This window comes from Homo sapiens, chromosome 6 (assembly GCF_000001405.40).
Source record: "Homo sapiens chromosome 6, GRCh38.p14 Primary Assembly".
Taxonomy (NCBI): domain Eukaryota; kingdom Metazoa; phylum Chordata; class Mammalia; order Primates; family Hominidae; genus Homo; species Homo sapiens.
Genome location: NC_000006.12, coordinates 37,519,805 through 37,537,327, shown reverse-complemented (window position 1 = coordinate 37,537,327; position 17,523 = coordinate 37,519,805). Strand labels below are relative to the sequence as shown.

The following is a 17,523-nucleotide window of genomic DNA, read 5'->3' as shown; positions in this document are numbered from 1 at the left end:
CACCAAAGCAGACAGCTCGGTCCCACAGACTCGGCCCCTCCTCCACTACCCAGACACTGTCTGAGGCTGGAGACTGGACGCAGTGACCTCTGGGGATCCCTTGCTTGAGGTTTCTGGTTCCATCAATCCCAGGGAGCTGGAGAAGGAGAGCGGATTTCCCTCCAGGACTCCCGCGGATACCGACCTGAGCGCATCCGCTAAAGTCCTCGCAGCAGCGCGTTCACAGGCTCCAGAGCAGGCCTGCGGGTCCTGTTCCCTCCCCCACCCCTGCCCCTCCTCTCAGACCCAGGGCAATTTCCCTACAAGTGTGCTCACGCTGGGCCCTCTGAGCCACGGCGCCAATTGACTGGATTTCAATCAGAACTCCATCTCCCTTAAGGACCGCTTTGGATAAAAGCAGAAGTAACCTGCAATCTAGATGCTGATGCCAAACCGTAATGGGGGAGCCGGAGAGAAGCCGGGCCCAACTCCGGCCCCAGCCCCCAGCCACGGCGAAATCAGGCCTCAGCTGAGGCGCACGCAGCTTCCAGGGCCCGAGGAAGAGGGTAGCCTGAGTTCCCTCCATCTCCGCCACCAGCCGCCACAGGCTAAATCCTGGAGCCTGCCGGTGGGGTTAGCCGGCTGCTAGCCGTTTTAACAGTTGGCCAGGGGCCAGGGACCAGCCTTGCACCCCTGGGCAGGCCCTGTGTGGGTCCCTGCGCGCGCGCAACAAGGGCCCTTATAGGCCGGCTAAGGAGGGTCTGGGTGTCCTTAAGAGCCAGGAGGAGCTGCGGGCTCAGCACTTGTTCCCACCTACTAACCCCCAACCTCATCGCCAGCTGCCGCTTCCGCCACTGGGTCCTCTCCGGGCTATATTGCGTTCAGGAAACGGTCACTCCGAGAGAGCGGGGCTGCTCCAGTGACCCCCTGCCCCCGCCCCACTGCCTCCAGACCCCGCACCGCGGGCGAAGGCGGGGCTGTAGGGACAGGAGGGACCCCGCGGAGCGCTGTCAGCTCTGGTGCGCAGTACGGACAGCCTCCCTGGTAAATAATGCACGCCTCCCGGGCCAAGCTGCAGCAGGTAGTGTATCAAAGTAATATCGCGCTGCGAATTGCAGTGTAATCGCCGTAATTTAGGGCCCCGTGGGTGAGCCCGTTTCGGAATGGCTGCGCGCCCGGACGGGCAAGGTGACTGGAGCGTCTGCGCCGGCTTTGACCTCTGGATTTCCTCCAAGCTAAGTGAGCCCATAAAAAATGGAGAAGCCCAGGCTGTCTCCCAGCAAATGGGGTGTGGGCAGAGAGATTGTGTTATCTATCCAGACCCAGCGAGATGGATGCACTTGCCGGGAGAAAAGCGATGTCACTGCGAGCACAACCCGGCAGGTTGGGTATCCGCGTGCGGCGCCCATCCTCTCCCAGGTGGCCGAGAAGGCAGGGCGATGTGTCGGCTGCGCCCTGCCAGGAGCTAGGTGTTTTCATTAGGACTTGGGCGGCCCCTGCCGCCGTGAGCTGGCGGATCCGTGCCTCCCACGGGCTGCTCAGCAACCACCTTCCAGGGCCCCCAGGACCGGACTGCGCCGTGGCCGCTCCTCCTCCCTCCTCTTGTGCTGGGAAGTTGGAGTATTAATATTCCTGCCCAGGGCCTCCTGGGGGGCCTGCTGCCCGCCTCCCCTCCCCCAGCTCTACCAGGGAAAGTCATTCTGGGGTGGAGAGATGATAGCAGGAAATGTGTTTGCAGGCTCCCTTCTAACTTCTTGATGGGAGCCAGCTGGAAGCGCAAAAGCTGTGTTGTCCCTCTGTGCTCTGCTCCTGGTGACCTAGAAGGCGATAATCATGAGCCTCTCTCAGGAAAGACAAAGAAATGGAAAAACTTACTAGGGGCTGCAGGCCCGTCACATTGCATTAGCAGAGAGCCTTGCGTCTGCGGCCCTACCTCGGTGCCAGGCAGGGTGTTCCGTGTATCTTTAGAAGCCCCTGCCCCCACCCCATGCCTAATTTCCCGGACCCAGGAGTTACTGGTTCCTCCTCACCCATCTCTAAATCATTTTACGTCTCTCATTGAAGAGCTGGGGCAGACACCCAGCCTTCCTAGTCTGAGAATCTGCTGATATTCCCCAGCCCTGTTCCACAGCCCCCTCCAGCTTTTCTTTTTGCCTGGGTGGTGGGCTCTGAGCTAGTAGGGACCTTGGAAACCAGCAGTTCTAGTTAAACAAACCAGAGTGCATCCTTCCCGCAGAACATTCTGCAGCAAGAACGAGGGAGATTTATGTGTATGGGGACATGGAAAGATGTCCAGGATATATTGTTAAACAGAAAAGGCAAGTTGCAGAATAGCATGTAAAGTATAGTCTCATTTGTGTTACATTTTAAATAAAGGCTATATATACTCACATGCTTGCATATGCATAGAAAATGTCTGGAAAGATAAAAAGAGACTGTTAGCAATGGTTGTCCCACAGGATAAGGAGAAGCAGAAAGGGACTTTAACCTCTCATCTTACATTATGTACTGTTAAATTTTTTTAACAATTGTATTACTTGCATAATTTAAACATAAATCTTCCCCCTCCCAAAAAAAAAAAAAAAAACAGCAATTTCTCAGCGCAACCGCTTATGAAACTGAGGCCCAGAGAAGGAAAAGGACTTTCCCAAGTTGCACAGCACTTATAGCTTGGCCTCAGCACTGGTCCTGCCCTCTCCTCACCCCAGGCACACAGCTCTGCCAGCCAGACCAACCAGACCCATGAGGGAATAATGGACCACCCCCTTCCCAGAGCAGGAACGGCCCCTGACTGGGGTGTGACCCTACTTGAGGGAGCAGTCAGATAAAGGCAGGGGATCCCAAGATGAGAATTAGAGATGGATTTGGAACCTGGCTGGATGGCCTGCACTTGCCTGTGACCTTATCCAGCCACTGCCAGCCCAGTCTTCTGACACAGCTGGCTTCTCTTGGTCCAGGCTTGGCCAGGGTAGGGTCTGAAGGGTCATACCTAGGGTGACTTACCATCTTGATTTGTCCAGGACTCAGAGGTTTCCCGTGACGTGGGACTTTCATTGCTAAAACTGGGCAGTACCTAGAAAACGGGAACAAGTCGGTCACCTTTGTCTCGCCAGACATGTCCGCAGCAACATGCCAAGAGTCTGGCAAGGACACCTCTTGGTAACTCAAGGGCAAAGATTCTAGAAGTTTATCTCTGGGTGAAGACAGCCAGCCCCTGCTCTGATTTTTCTGAAAAATATGAAGCTGCAAGAGTTAATTTACATTTTGTCAGTTGTGCTTTCTCCTTGCATTCGTCCACACACATGCGCGCGCGCACACACACACACACACACACACACACACACACACACCGCTCCTAGTCTCCCTTAGTTTACTGAGAGGCATGTCCACCGGGGCCCAGCAATACCACACAGAGCCCACTGAGTCTCTTTGAGCAACATAATCCTCAAGAAATTCTAGAGCCTATAATTACACATGAGATGCAGCGCAATTTCTCATCTCTCCCTCCCCACCCCAGGAGACAAAAAGGAAATTTCACACCCTAGTGAGCCCAGCTCATCTTTTCCTCTTTGATGCCAGCCTGGGGTTAAAAAGCAGGGACAGACGACACACGCCTCCTCTGGGGCCTGATTCTTTTGCTGATTTTGAGATTCAAAGCATGCATCTTAAAGATCATAATCTGATTGTGCTATGCCCGCCTTCCCGGCCGATTAATGGCCTCCTGGCTTCCGCACTGCAGCACCCAGTGCTCTGCAGAAAGCCACCTCCCACACCCCAGCCCCACCTGAGTCTGGCAACCCAGAGGAGAAAAGGCTAAGGCTAAGCAGGGGGCGTGTCAAGGAAGGAACAGAGATCTAAGTTCAAGTCCTAGTCCTGTCGCTAGCTAGCTGTGTGACTTTAGATAAATTGCTTGCCCTCTCTGGTCTTTGATTTCCTCACCATGAAATGAAGGTATTGACCTACATGGTCTCTAAGTCCCGTTAGACCCAATAAACCAGACTTCCTTGGTTAAAATCTCGACTCCTTCTTCTAGGTGGGTAAACTTGGGCAAGTTTCTCCACTTTTCTATGTCTCTGTCTTCATTCACCTCATTGTGTTGTAGTAAGAATTAAGTGAGTTAACATTTTTAAAGGGCTTAAAACAGTGCCTGGCACATGTCAAAGAACTTGTGGCAGGGATATCAGTGCTCCGTCTTTACACCCCTGGCACTCACTAGTCCCATGCCTGGCTCTTGGACTCCAAGCACCTGTGGTTCTGTGCCCTGCCTGATAGGTTTCTTTGATTCCACACCCCTACCCCATCACTCCAGTGTCCTTGCCCTGAGCTCCACGCAGGCTGAAAGTGCAAGGAGTGTAAATGGCTCAGAGCAGCCCTCAACCTGATGACTGTAGGGAGTTGGCATATAAATACCCCAGTGGTCCCTCTGAGATAGCTCTGAGGCTTGTTCTGCACAGCCTCGCAGAGGTTCAGCAGGATTGAGCCCTGTACCCAGGAGGCTAACTGCTCATTCACACACCTTTCATTGTCTTCCCTCCTGCCCCTGCCTTCCCCACCCAGTGCTCCTCAGGATCACTCTCCAATAAACTGCTTGCACCCAAATCCTTCCCTCGGTTATTACTCTGTGCTAATGCACTTCACAAATGTACCTTTGTTCTTCTTTTTCTTTTTCTTTTTTTTCCGAGACAGCATCTCACTTTGTCACCCAGGCTGGAGTGCAGTGATGCAGTCACAGCTCACTACAGCCTTCAATTCCTGGACTCAAGAGATCCTTCCACCTCAGCCCCTCAAGTAGCTAGAACTAGACATGAGCCACCACGTTTGGCTACAATTTTTTGTAGAGGTGGGGTGTTACTATGTTGCTCAGGTTGTTCTCGAACTCCTGGCCTCAAGTAATCCTCCTGCCTCGGCCTCCAAAGTGCTGGGATTACAGGGATGAACCACTGTGTCTAGCCTACCTTCGCTCTTCACAACCACCTGAGAAGTGAGTGTGATTGTGCCCATGTTACAGATGTGGAAACTGAGGCCAATGGAGGGTAAATGCCTTGCCCAAGACCACATGGCAGGTGAGTGGCCCAGCTGGGATTTGAAGCCATGTCTGTCTGATGCCACAGACTCTACATCTCCATCTGTCTCCCTCTTTTCCCTCTGAGGGGCTGGATCCTGCTTCAGAAATGGAAACCTCATTCCTTCAGAGGTACAGCAGCAGCTCCTTTGCTCCAGGCAGAGAGCAGAGGCACAGGGCTAGGGCCATCTGTGATATTTTCTCCTTTTCCAGTCACACTCATAGAACCCTTGGGTGGCATGGTCCCAGGCAGAGCAGTCAGGCACTTGGTACCACAGCCGCAGTTTACGTGCAAACATGTGGAAACCCTTGAGGGAAAGTGGCCTCCCAACGTGCCAGGGTTGGACCGAGCTGCTGCCTGCCCCAAAGGGGTACAGCACTTCCTGGTCCCCAGCTGAGCCCCACTCTCAGCCCCTGCAAGTGTGTGCTGATGGCAAGAGCAACAGGCCATATGCCTGAGACTTGGGGAGCCAAGCCTCACATCATCCCCTCAGCGCAGAGAGCTCACTTCAGACCTGGCCTTATTACAGTTCCTGGCTTTATACATATCAGTAGCTTTTATATGCACATGGTTCCAAATCCACAAAAGCCTTCCTCTTTTCCTGTGCCCCAGCTTCCCTCTCTGAAGACAACAGCTGCTGTCACTGATCTGCTATGAGTCCTTCCAGAGATACTCTATGCACAGACAGGCACATAAATGCAGTCATTCCAAACACATTCTTCTTTTTCTCTAGAACAAAGTGTCTTGGAGATCTTTCTGTGTGGGTACAGAAAGAACTTCCTAATTCCTTTTTAAAGCTATATAGTATTCCAGTGTATTTATGTCCCATAATTGGTTTAACTAGTTCTCAGTGAATGGAAATTTGAGTTATTTCCAATCATGTACTAATATAAATCTTGTACATAAGTTATTTTACACACTTGGAAATAAAACTATAGGAAAAATAGCTAGAGATAGAATTATTGGGACAAGAGGAATGCACATTTGTAATTTTAAAAGATATGACAAACGGACCTCCCAAGGTGCTGAATCATTTACACTCCCCCCGGTTATGTGCTGCGCTGAGACCCAACTGCATGCCAGGCATGGGTGTGCATCATCGACTTTGGTCTCACTACATTCCTGGGGGGGTAGCACTATTATCCTTATTTGATGAGAAAATTGAGAGAGTTCAATTTTGCCCAGGAAGAACCAACAAACCTTTTATTATTTCATGACATACTAGGGTCTGTGCTTTACATTTATTATCTTATTTAACCTTCACCATAGCACTATGAGGTGGGTACTTTTACCATCACCACTCATTTTACAGGTGAGCCTAGTGTTGGAGCTCGGAGAGGTTAAGTAGCTTTCCTAGAGTCACACAGCCAGTGGTAAGTGGCAGAGCCAAATGTGAACCTGGGCTCTCCCTGCTCCCACCAGGAGTCTATCCACTGGCTTCCTGCTTCCTGCCTTATGTATGCCCCAAACTCCTCTAGTTTAGGGGTTAGGGGTTGCACAAAGCAGAGTCCCCTGGAGGCATTAGACCGAGAATCAAGGAGTCGGCGATTGCTAGAAGGTAAGAGCTGGAAAGGATCATGAAAGGGGCAGGGAGGGTGGGGCTGGAAATACGAGGGGTGGTTGCCTCGATGTTTGGGAGAGGTGGGGCTGCTGGGATGTTTGGGAGAGGTGGGGCTGCTGGGATGCTAAATTGTTGTACCCTGCATGGGATATTCCTTCCCCCAACTTGTCCACAGTACCCTATTGAGAAATTCCACATTTCGTTTTGCAGATGCAGAAATAAAGGGAGGATCCCTTGGAAAAGGCACAGGAGTCCTGCATTGGAGGAAAAGCCAGGATGAGAAATCACTCTGTCCACTCCAGGACCAGCGCTCTAAACTCTGCGTGGGGCTGCCTCCTGCACAACTTGAAACAAAGAGAACCAGACCAAGCAGCCTTAGTGAGTGTTGGCAGGGGAGGAGGGGCTCACTTACCAAGCACCTGCTGTATACACATAACCATTTAAGTTCCATGATAACTCTATCATTTTACAGGAGAGGAGATTGGCACTAAGCCCCCCAGTTGAAGGAGGGTGTTGGAAGGCAGATTTTGGGAGGCCTGAAACCCAAGCAAAGGGCTTTATATTGACTACAATATTGACTACAGTGAGCTAACAGGGCTGATTCCAGGTTCTTGAACCAGGACATAACTTACGTGACTTGATCAAATTCAGGTTTTAGGATACTCACTCTGGTGGCAATGCTTTGTACATGCCGTTCCCCCTGCTTGGAATGCCTTTCCCAGACTTGCATGCCCCAAGAACTGCGACTCAAAGCTCTCTGTGAAGCATCCCCTGAACTCTGATCCCCGCAAAGGCAGGGGCTGGGTTTTAGCTTTTCATCCCCAAGCTCTGGTCTAGTGTCAGGCACATCGTGGGAGCTTAATAAATGTTTATGGGGCTGGGCGCGGTGGCTCATGCCTGTAATCCCAGCACTTTGGGAGGCCAAGGTGGGCGGATCACGAGGTCAAGAGATCAAGACCATCCTGGCTAACATGGTGAAACCCCGTCTCTACTAAAAATACAAAAAATTAGCCGGGCTTGGTGGCGGGCACCTGTAGTCCCAGCTACTCGGGAGGCTGAGGCAGGAGAATGGTGTGAACCCCGGAGGCGGAGTTTGCAGTGAGCCGAGATCGCGCCACTGCACTCCAGCCTGGGTGACAGAGCGAGACTGCGTCTCAGTAAATAAATAAATAAATAAATAAATAAATAAATAAATAAATAAATGTTTATGGGATGAAGGAATGGAGTGATGAAGGCCTGACTGAGACAGCGGCAGCAGGAAGGAAAAGGAAATGTGAAGACAAGTTGAAGGAAGACGGACAAGGCCCCTTGACTGGTTAGATGTGATGATAACAGCTTGTACCTTTATAGCAACTGCTGTATACCAGTTTTCATAAGGGAAGTGCTATTAGCACCTGCATTTGACAAATGAGGAAACCAGGACTCGGAGAGAGTACACAGCTAGTCAGTGCTTGAGGTCACATAGCTCGCAGGCAGTAGAGCCAAGCTTTGAACCCAGGCAGTCTAGCCCGGGATTCATGCTCTTTATGTCTGGTCTGTTTTGTACAACTTACAAGGACAAGCAGGTGAGTAAAGTCAAAACTATCCATCCTGGAAAACTGGATAATGATGCTCAGAGTTCTGGGTCTTCTGATCTCTAATCTGTTGCACTGTCTGCCAGGTGACCCCCCTCCCATTCATCACCTCCTTAAAGGCTCAGCCCAACACCCACCAGGATCCAAGCTCAGTCTCCACAGAATGTACTGCCTGGACAGAGACCCAGTGTGCAGACTCGGGGGCTGGGGAACATGTGGGAGTGCGGGCAGGAATCTGGGTCCCACCCCTCAGGCTTTTGGCCTGCCCCAGCAGGCTCCAGGCAGGAAGCCAGTCCAGCCTGCCATGCCCTCTCTCTGCTGTGCCTCCTCCCTCACCCAAGTCACACTCCACACGCTCAGGTTCCTTTGTGGTGGGTGTTTTGATTAATTTTATTCTAATTAATTCAGTAATCTCAAGCTGTTTGCAAAATCTTGCACCAAGCACTGCTCTGTGATGGATCTGCAGAAGGGGCTACAGACAAACACCCGAATCGTGTTGTTTCTCCATTGGCACTATATATATCTTACGGCTGGGAGAGAGTGGGCTGGGGGAGAGCAGCAGGACGCCGCCTGCCTGCCGGCTTTTCACTGTCATTCCCCAAATGTCCTCTATTTTCCTGCGGCCAGGGCACGGGTTCTATGGTTGGGGCACAGGGACCCCGAAGGCTTTCCTACAGGCAGGCAGGCTTGGTGGCAGGGCTTTGTGCCCTACTCTGCCTCTTCCTCTTTGTGGAGCCTCGGGTGGTTTGCTTAACCAGCTTTGGCACCCTCACCTAGAAAACGGAGATGAGCTGGGCGCGGTGGCTCATGCCTGTAATCCCAGCACTTTGGGAGGCCGAGGTGGGTGAATCACAAGGTCAGGAGTTCAAGACCAGCCTGGCCAAGATGATGAAACCCTGTCTCTACTAAAAATACAAAAATTAGCCGGACGTGGTGGCAGGTGCCTGTAATCCCAGCTACTTGGGAGGCTGAGGCAGGAGAATCACTCGAACCCAGGAGGCGGAGGTTGCGGTGAGCTGATATTATGCCACTGCACTCCAGCCTGGGCAACAGAGCAAGACTCCATCTCAAAACAAAACAAAAAAAAGGAAACGGAGATGAAACGCCTACCCTGGCCACCTCAGAGGCACTGAGAGCCAGCTGGAGTATGGGGACAGGCTTGGGAAACTGAAAAGACCTTAGGGTACTGCTGATGTCTTTATCCGAGAAGCCGTAGAGGGTGATGGGGAAGAGTCAAACCAGATTTCCTGGGTTGGAATCCTGCCTCAACCTCTTACTAGTGGGGAGCTTTGCAGAGGCTACTTCACCTCTCTGTGCCTCAGTTTCCATGCCTGTAAAATGAGGGTGAAAACAGAACCCATCTCAGAGGGTTCTTATGATTAAATGAATATGAGCAAAGCTTTTAGAACAGTGCTTGGCATGGAGTCAAGCACTATACAGGATAACTATTATTATGGTTATCTTAGTTGTCTTCATCCCTTCAAAATCTTCCTAGTGCATTGTAAATGCCTTCTCTGATTAACCAGAATGCAACTTGCACTCCAGTCTCAAAGCACTCATCCTTCCCTCATTTCTCTGAACATGTTAGTCTTGGCCCATAACTGGTTTCCTCTCCAAGTGGCCAATATCTCTCACCCCAGGTCCATAACTCCCACCATGGTAGGATTAAGGGGGCTTGGTCCATGACGGTTCCAGTAGTCCTATCCAAAGGGGACTCGGAGGCAACGAGATGATTAGAAGGGAGTTCATCTTAAAGCTGAGTCTGCTAAGTACACACAATGATTCTACTTAAAATCCAAATACAGGAAGGTTTTCAAAAATTGAGGCAATGTCAGTTGTGTATATGAAGGGTTATTTTTCTTTTCTGTGGAAGGACATTGGGAGGGACATATGGAAATGGGGGACATCCCTCCCAGTACACTTTTGGCACCTGTACTCATGCCATGAAGAGGAAAACAACTGACCCAACCAACAGGGCAATAGAACAGGGTGGGAGGTGATGCTTTAGGTGGGTAGTCAGGGAAGGCCTCTATGAAGAGGTGTCAAGCCCTGAGAAAAGGGAGAAAAGCCCATTGTGTGGCAATATGAGTAAAGAGCACTCCAGGAAGAGGGTACAGTGTGCAAAGGCTTGAGGCGGGAATGAACTTGGGGGTATTTGGGAGACAAAGAACAGCAGCTGAGGGGGACAGCAGGATAAATTAGAGTGACGAGGCCACAAGGTCCAGGCCAAGGGCCATCAGCCATAATAAGGAGTTGGATTTCATTCTAAAGATGCTGGGAGACTTTGGAGAGTTTTAAGCCAGAAAGTGACCTGATTTCATTTATGTTTTTAAAAGACCACATTGGCTGCCGCTCTAGCATTCATCCATCCATCCTTCCATCTGCTTATTAACAAGATTTCCTGCATACCTACTGTGTGCCAGGGTCTGTGCTGGGCACTTGCAGTTTAGAGTTGAGTAAGATATTGCCCTCCCTCGTGGAGCTCAGCATGGATGAGAAAACGAACTTCTGGTGCTTTCAGAAGCAGGGGTTGAGTGCCTGGCAGAGCAGGGTGTGCACTGCAGAGGAAGGACTGGGGCCCTGGGATTGGGGACAGGAAGAGCTATTGAGAACAGTGGCTCTCCAAAGTGAGTGGCATCAGAATCTCCTGAAGGGCTTGTTAAAAACAGATTGCTGGCCGGGCACGGTGGCTCACACCTGTAATCCCAGCACTTTGGGAGGCCAAGGCGGGCAGATCACCTGAGGTCAGGAGTTCAAGACCAGCCTGACCAATATGGTGAAACCCCGTCTCTACTAAAAATACAAAAATTAGACGGGCGTGGTGGTGCGCACCTGTAGTCCCAGCTACTCGGGAGGCTGAGACAGGAGAATTGCTTGAACCCCGGAGGCGGAGGTTGCAGTGAGCAGAGATCATGTCACTGTACTCCAGCCTGTGACAGAGCAAGACTCTGTCTCAAAAAAAAACCCAAAAAACAAAAAAAGATTGCTGTGCACCACCTCCCCCCACCTGCCACACAGATTCTGATTCAGTAAACCTGGGGTGGGCCTGAGAATTTGCATTTTTAGCAGGTTTCTAGCTGGTTCTGATGCTGCTGGCCCAGGGACTGCGCTTTGAGAACCACTGTGTAGGAGGATCTCAACTTCTATGGACCAGAAAGGGCTATTTCTAGGAATTCATCTCAGCACCCGAGGTGTGGACAGCTCCCCAACTGGCTCTTCATTGTCATCCACCACTCAGGCCTGAGACAGGGAGCCCCCTGAGGACAGCATTTCCCCGCCATCTCCCTCCACCCACCACCCACCGCTTGGTTTCCACTCAGACCCCTGCCTCTCCCTGCTCCCTCCTTGGGAAGCACATCCTCAAACTCTGTCCTGCAACTGAAGGAGCAATTTCACTCTCAGTCACCTTCACTGATTCCTTTCAGGATGCAGAAGACCTCAGTTAACACTGCACCCGCCTCCTGGCCAGCCAACTGCCCCCATCTGTTCCTTTCCCAAAACTGCACCCTGGGCTGGGGGACTTGGGATCCCCCAGCTCTGTTATCTGCATGCCACAGGCCTGATTCATTTCACAGCCACATGGTCAGATGTCTCCTCACCCCCTTCTCTTCCTGCCCCCGCCTTTCTCTGAGCTCTGAATGTCCCCTTTTCACCCAGTCATATTTCCCCAGCCCCCTCCTCTCCTCACTCCTTTGCCCATCCCATCTGTGATAAATTTGGCAGATTACCCCATGAAAGCCTAAATTATCAGTGTTCCTGGTCACTTTGGCCCTTAGTCCCTTAGAAAGACAGTGTTGAAATTGCAAGCATTCATCAGAATCTGAATTTCAAAATTTCTAAAAATTCCCTAATTGAGGTTGTCTAAACTATCCTTCAAGACCAGAACTCTCCTTGGATTTTTCAGCAGGCGCTTGAGCCCAATCCCTCCTCCTCCACCAGATTGCAAACTCCCTGAGAACAAGAAGCTCAGCCGCTCAACTCTGAGCCACTCAGTCTAGCACCGCGACCAGCTCCTAGTAAGTACCTAGGAGGTAGCCACTTTATTATGACTATTACCATGATGGCATTGTTGCTGCTGTTATTGCTATCTGCTCTGCTCTCCTCATGCCTTGCTCAATGCCTTGCACACAGTAGGGTCTCAGCAAAGTCTTACAGGTACACAGATGACAAATGTATAGTTGTCATCCTCACCTCACTGCTCTTGCCTCCGACTACCTCATTCGCCTGTAACAGCTTCTCCCTCATTTGCCTTTTTTTTTCTTTTCTTAACTGCTGCGATGTTCTGAGCCAGAGCATTTGAAAGATTTTTGTGCAATAACTCCCCACCCCCACGCCTAGATCTTCGAGGCCTAGGAGATTAGTGTCAGGAGATTTGGTGGGTAATGGGTTCTGGGCAGTAGAAAACAGTCCCCTTTACAGAGATACAATTATACAGGTTATACTTCCCTGAGTTCAGACACAGCCACAGACCTCGGGGAACCTGGTGTCGGCACAGATGGTACATGGGGCCACATTATATGGAATATTCTCCACTTGCTATAAAACTGTTGACAAATATAGGAAACGAGATGTTTTTCTTTTCCATGTTTTCTTTTCTTTTCCTTAGCCAAACACTGCGGGCCCTCATGAGTCACAAAAGTTTTGAGATATTACTCAGAAATATAGGAGGAAAGCTCCATATTTCCCCCGTCAAAGGTCTGGTTTTCTTATTTATTTATTCACATGCCACTGGGTAAATTGAACCCTGAACAATATTAAAAGGAAATAAACATATCTCTCAGCCGCTCACGGACCTAGCACTCACCAGGCAGCGGGATTAGCAACAAGCCTCCCCAGGTGGGACAAAGCTGCAGTATGGAGGGGGGGTGCGGGTCCAGGGGCCTGCAAAGCGGGGTCCCTGCAGCTCCCTACTCCAGGCAAGTCGAAGCTCCCTCTCCCCTGGCCAGCCTCCAAGACCCACAACTGACGCACACATTCACTCTGTGGCCATGGCAGCTCCCAGAAGGTGGAAAGACTCCATTTTTATTTCCACCTTTCCGGTACCTGTGCCTCTCACTGACCCATTCCAACACGCACACAAGAACACACACACACACACACACATACATACACACATACACACACACATCAGCAATGACGAACCAGCCCCAAACCATAGCGGAATGTCATTTCAGAGTCCTATCTGCATGGTTGAAATCAGAAGTTGGGATGCCTGAGACCATTCATATGGCCTGTTTACAGTCACTGAGAATTGATACTTACTTTGGGGGAAGAAAAAAATATACGTTTAAAATATATATATATACACACACACACACACACACACACACACACACACATCCCCACACACACACTCAGATACATATCGGTGGTGGATAGATGGATCTTTCTCACCCTGAAAACCATGACAGATGAGTTTTGTTTGGGCCTGTATGCATTTTAAAGGTGCATTTAAACTCACTAAATTAGAATCTGGATTGGTGGCGGTGCCCACCCAACCCTGGCCTCCTCTTCCCCTCAACAGGAAGGCAGCCAACCAGGTTCTCATTCAGAATTTAATCTTGCCTGAGTGGCGTGACCACTTCTGTCTCTGCTCAGTTTCTTTTTTTTTTTTTTTTTTTTGAGACGGACTCTCACTGTGTTGCCCAGGCTAGGGGGCAGTGGCGTGATCTCGGCTCACTGCAACCTCTACCTCCCGGGTTCAGATGATTCTCCTGCCTCAGCCTCCTGAGTAGCTTGGATTACAGACACGCACAATCACTCCCAGCCAATTTTTGTATTTTTAGTAGAGACAGGGTTTTGCCATGTTGGCCAGGCTGGTCTCAAACTCCTGACCTTGGCCTCCCAAAGTGCTGGAAGTACAGGCTTGAGCCACCACCCCCGGCCTCTGCCCGGTTTCTGCGATGAGAAAGCTGGGCCCTCTCCCTAGGGGGACAGGTCTGGACTAGGTGAGTTTACAGGGTGAAGTCAGAGACCCCACTGCCCTGGGGTCTTCAGAGGGCCCATCCCCCAATGCAACTGAGTCAAGGTTGGTGGGATCAAGACAAGCAGTTCACCCAGGATCCAGGAACACAAAACCTGTTCTGACACCCATTCTCCTGCTCAAGAACATGCAGTGGCTCCCAATTACCCACAACAATGATGTTTCCTCTCAACGGCAGACCATAGGTGGGGACTGCCTGGAGCTCTGGGTGGAACAGATCTCTGAGGCCTTGTGTGGGTTCAGCAGGGAGCGTGCAGTGATCAATGATCCATGTCTGCCATGAATGAAGGAGCAGAGATTGCAGCCGCCCACACTGAATGTCAGTCTTCCCTGGACTACAGAACTAAGTCTAAATGCCTCTACTGCTCTACCAAACTCCTCCACCATCTGACCCCTCATTTCCTCTCCAGAGTCATTACCCACTCCTCTCCAGCAAGGCCACCCCAATCACGCCAAGCTCTGCATCGTACTTGGCACACACCACCTCAGACCTACCTCTGTGCCTTGACTCAAGCTGCCATTCCCACGCTCCCCCCAATCTTCATCCTCCAGATATGAGTTTAGTTCCTAGCACTTCTTAAGGTCCAGCTCAAATCCTCCTCCTCCAGGAAGCTTTCTTAACTGCTCTGATCCATCCCAGCTCTCAAGGCACTCAGGGGCATTACCACATATTGAAATAGTCAGTGTTCGAAGAGTTTCCTATTTCCAAGTACTCATCTCACCAACCTGATTGGAAACACACCATCACCACCATCAATGAGAATCACATCTGACTTTCTTTTTTCTTTTTTCTTTTTCCAAGACAGAGTCTTGCTCTGTCACCCAAGCTGGAGTGCAGTGGCGCAATCTCGGCTCACTGCAACCTCTTCCTCCCAGGTTCAAGAAATTCTCCTGCCTCGGCCTCCCGACTAGCTGGGATTACAGGTGCCCGCCACCATGCCCGGCTAATTTTTGTATTTTTAGTAGAGACAAGATTTCTCCATGTTGGCCAGGCTAGTCTCGAACTCCTGACCTTGTGATCCACCTGCCTCAGCCTCCCAAAGTGCTGAGATTACAGGCATGAGCCACCGCACCCAGCCCTTTCTTTTTTTGTCCTCCACAGCATTTCACACGATGCTTGCCAGGAACCATCCTGGCCACAAGCACTTACTGAAGTCCACAGGTTTACCTTAGGTGCTTTAAGATCCTTGGGGTCTCAGAAACCAAACTTGTGGGGCCAGAGGTGAAATCAGAAAGGCCCACTGTGGACTGAGAGTCCCCCACACACAAGTTCCATTCCTGACTCATTGTGCAACCTGTGGTTTATGGGCAGGGTCACTTAACTAAATGTCTAGCCCTCAATGTGCCCATCTGCAAAATAGGCAGCCGTGTTCTGCTCCTTCCCCACCCACCACACCAGGGGCAGAATTTTAATCTCTACCCTTCCACTGACTAGCCAGTGGAGCCAGGGACCCGCCCTCCTCAAGCCCCAGCGTCCTCCCCTGTGCAATGTAACGTTCCCAGTAATGGAGCAGGTGTGCGGGGCAGCCCCACTCCCCTGAAGGACAACAGCAGGCCACTGGGGAAAGGTGAGGTGTCAGGAAGTAGCAGAGACGTGAGCCCCAGCATCTCATTTTTGGTGAGCTTTCCTTCCCCCAGAGCTCTCTTCTTCCCCCTTCTCTTTTTTTTCCCTTTCCCTGGGGCTGGGAAAAGATTTGGGAAGACAAATGTGTTCCACGGGGTGTGGGTGGGGGACCCTCACGCCTCCCCTGGCTGAGGTGGAAAGACATCTCTGAGGTCTGGAAGTCAGTCACAGGACAAGACAAGGGAGGTGGGGAGGGCTCGAGGCCCTGCAGCCTCCCTTTGGACTTCGGAGAGGGCCTGAGGAGGCAGGCAGGCCCCAGGGGGAGAATCAAAGAGGGGCAGTGAGAACATAGCCAGGCCAGGAGGGCCCCGGCTCCATTCACCAAAGGCCCCACCCAGGCAAGTGCCCACAAATCCTTATTGACCCCACAAGGAAACCACAAGCCCCTCCTTTCCCCCCATTTACTGCAGACTGCAGCTGCTCTGCTTCGCCCTTCCCTGTGGAGCCACCACAGATGGTGATGACAGAAACTACGGGAAATATCTGTGGTTCTGTTAACTGAGGAAAGCAGGGCACAGGGCAAGGTGTGCAGCGAGGGCACTGGAGCGCAAGGGTGCTAGAGGCAGTGGTGGGCTCTCCAGCAGACCACCCAGGTCAAACCCAGCTCTGCCTCACATAAGCCGTGCGACCATAGTGAGTCATTTGACCTTTCTGTACCTCAGTTTCCTCGCCTGTAAGACAGAGGTGACTAATGTGGGGACCCAGCTTGCACGAGTTAGTCCTCAGAAGCAATTTGGATCAGGCGCGGTGGCTCACACCTGTAAGGTTCACACCAGCACTTTGGGATGCCGAGGCGGTAGCATCACTTGAGCCCAGGAGTTCGAGACCAGCCTGGGCAACCTGTGGAGATGAGGGCGAGACCTTCATGTCTACAAAAAATAAAAAAATTGGCTGGGCACAGTGGCTCACGCCTGTAATCCCAGCACTTTGGGAGGCCGAGGCGGGCAGATCACGAGATCGGAAGATCGAGACCATCTTGGCTAACACGGTGAAACCCCATCTCTACTAAAAATACAAAAAATTAGCCGGGTGTGGTGGCACATGCCTGTAGTACCAGATACTTGGGAGGCTGAGGCAGAAGAATTGCTTGAACCCGGGAGGTAGAGGTTGCAGTGAGCTGAGATCACGCCATTGCACTCCAGCCTGGGCGACAGAGCAAGACTCCGTCTCAAAAAAAAAAAAAAAATCAAAAAATTAGCCGGGTGTGGTGGTGCACACCTGTGGTCCCAGCTACTCGAGAGGCTGAGGCAGGAGGATCGCTTGAGCCTTGAGGGTTAAGGTTGCAGTGAGTTGGGATTGCACCACTGCACTCCAGCCTGGGGAACAGAGAAAGATCCTGTTTCAATTTGTTTTTTTTAATGAAGAAAGAAAGTACTGCGAAGAGTGCTTGCTTTTTTTTTTTTTTTTTTTTGAGACCGAGTCTCACTCTGTTGCCTAGGCTGGAGTGCAATGGCACGATCTCAACTCACTGCAACCTCCACCTCCCGGGATCAAGCAATTCTCCTGCCTCAGCCTCCCAAGTAGCTGGGATTACAGGTGCCCACCACCACGCCCAGCTAATTTTTGTATTTTTAGTAGAGACAGGGTTTCGTCATGTCGGCCAGCCTGGTCTCGAACTCCTGACCTCCGGTGATCTGCCTGCCTCAGCCTCCCAAAGTGCTGGGATTACAGGCGTGAGCCACCTCACCTGGCCGAGCAGTGCTTGCTATCACTATAGAAGCCACTGGAATGTGAGCCCC

General features: G+C 51.3%; 1 long non-coding RNA gene across 1 annotated transcript in view, besides 3 other annotated features; it reads right to left on the bottom strand.

The window, feature by feature from the left end:
- Positions 366-913: an enhancer, noted in NCBI's record as "H3K4me1 hESC enhancer chr6:37504191-37504738 (GRCh37/hg19 assembly coordinates)". NCBI's record gives its function as "activates a minimal SCP1, AML or CMV promoter by ChIP-STARR-seq in primed H9 embryonic stem cells {active_cell/tissue: H9 hESC(primed)}" and the evidence as "EXISTENCE:reporter gene assay evidence [ECO:0000049][PMID:30033119]".
- The window catches only part of LINC02520 (long intergenic non-protein coding RNA 2520), a 28,933-nt gene continuing 12,457 nt past the window's right edge, over positions 1,048-17,523 (bottom strand). The window contains exons 2-4 of the long non-coding RNA NR_126057.1: positions 2,983-3,052; positions 2,371-2,395; positions 1,048-1,796 (exon numbers count right to left, since the gene is read on the bottom strand). This is a non-coding gene — a long non-coding RNA (long intergenic non-protein coding RNA 2520). The remainder of the gene's footprint in view (positions 1,797-2,370; positions 2,396-2,982; positions 3,053-17,523) is intronic.
- Positions 1,079-1,358: an enhancer, noted in NCBI's record as "active region_24463". NCBI's record gives its function as "activates an Ori minimal core promoter by ATAC-STARR-seq in GM12878 lymphoblastoid cells {active_cell/tissue: GM12878}" and the evidence as "EXISTENCE:reporter gene assay evidence [ECO:0000049][PMID:35858748]".
- Positions 7,918-7,987: a silencer, noted in NCBI's record as "silent region_17141". NCBI's record gives its function as "represses an Ori minimal core promoter by ATAC-STARR-seq in GM12878 lymphoblastoid cells {active_cell/tissue: GM12878}" and the evidence as "EXISTENCE:reporter gene assay evidence [ECO:0000049][PMID:35858748]".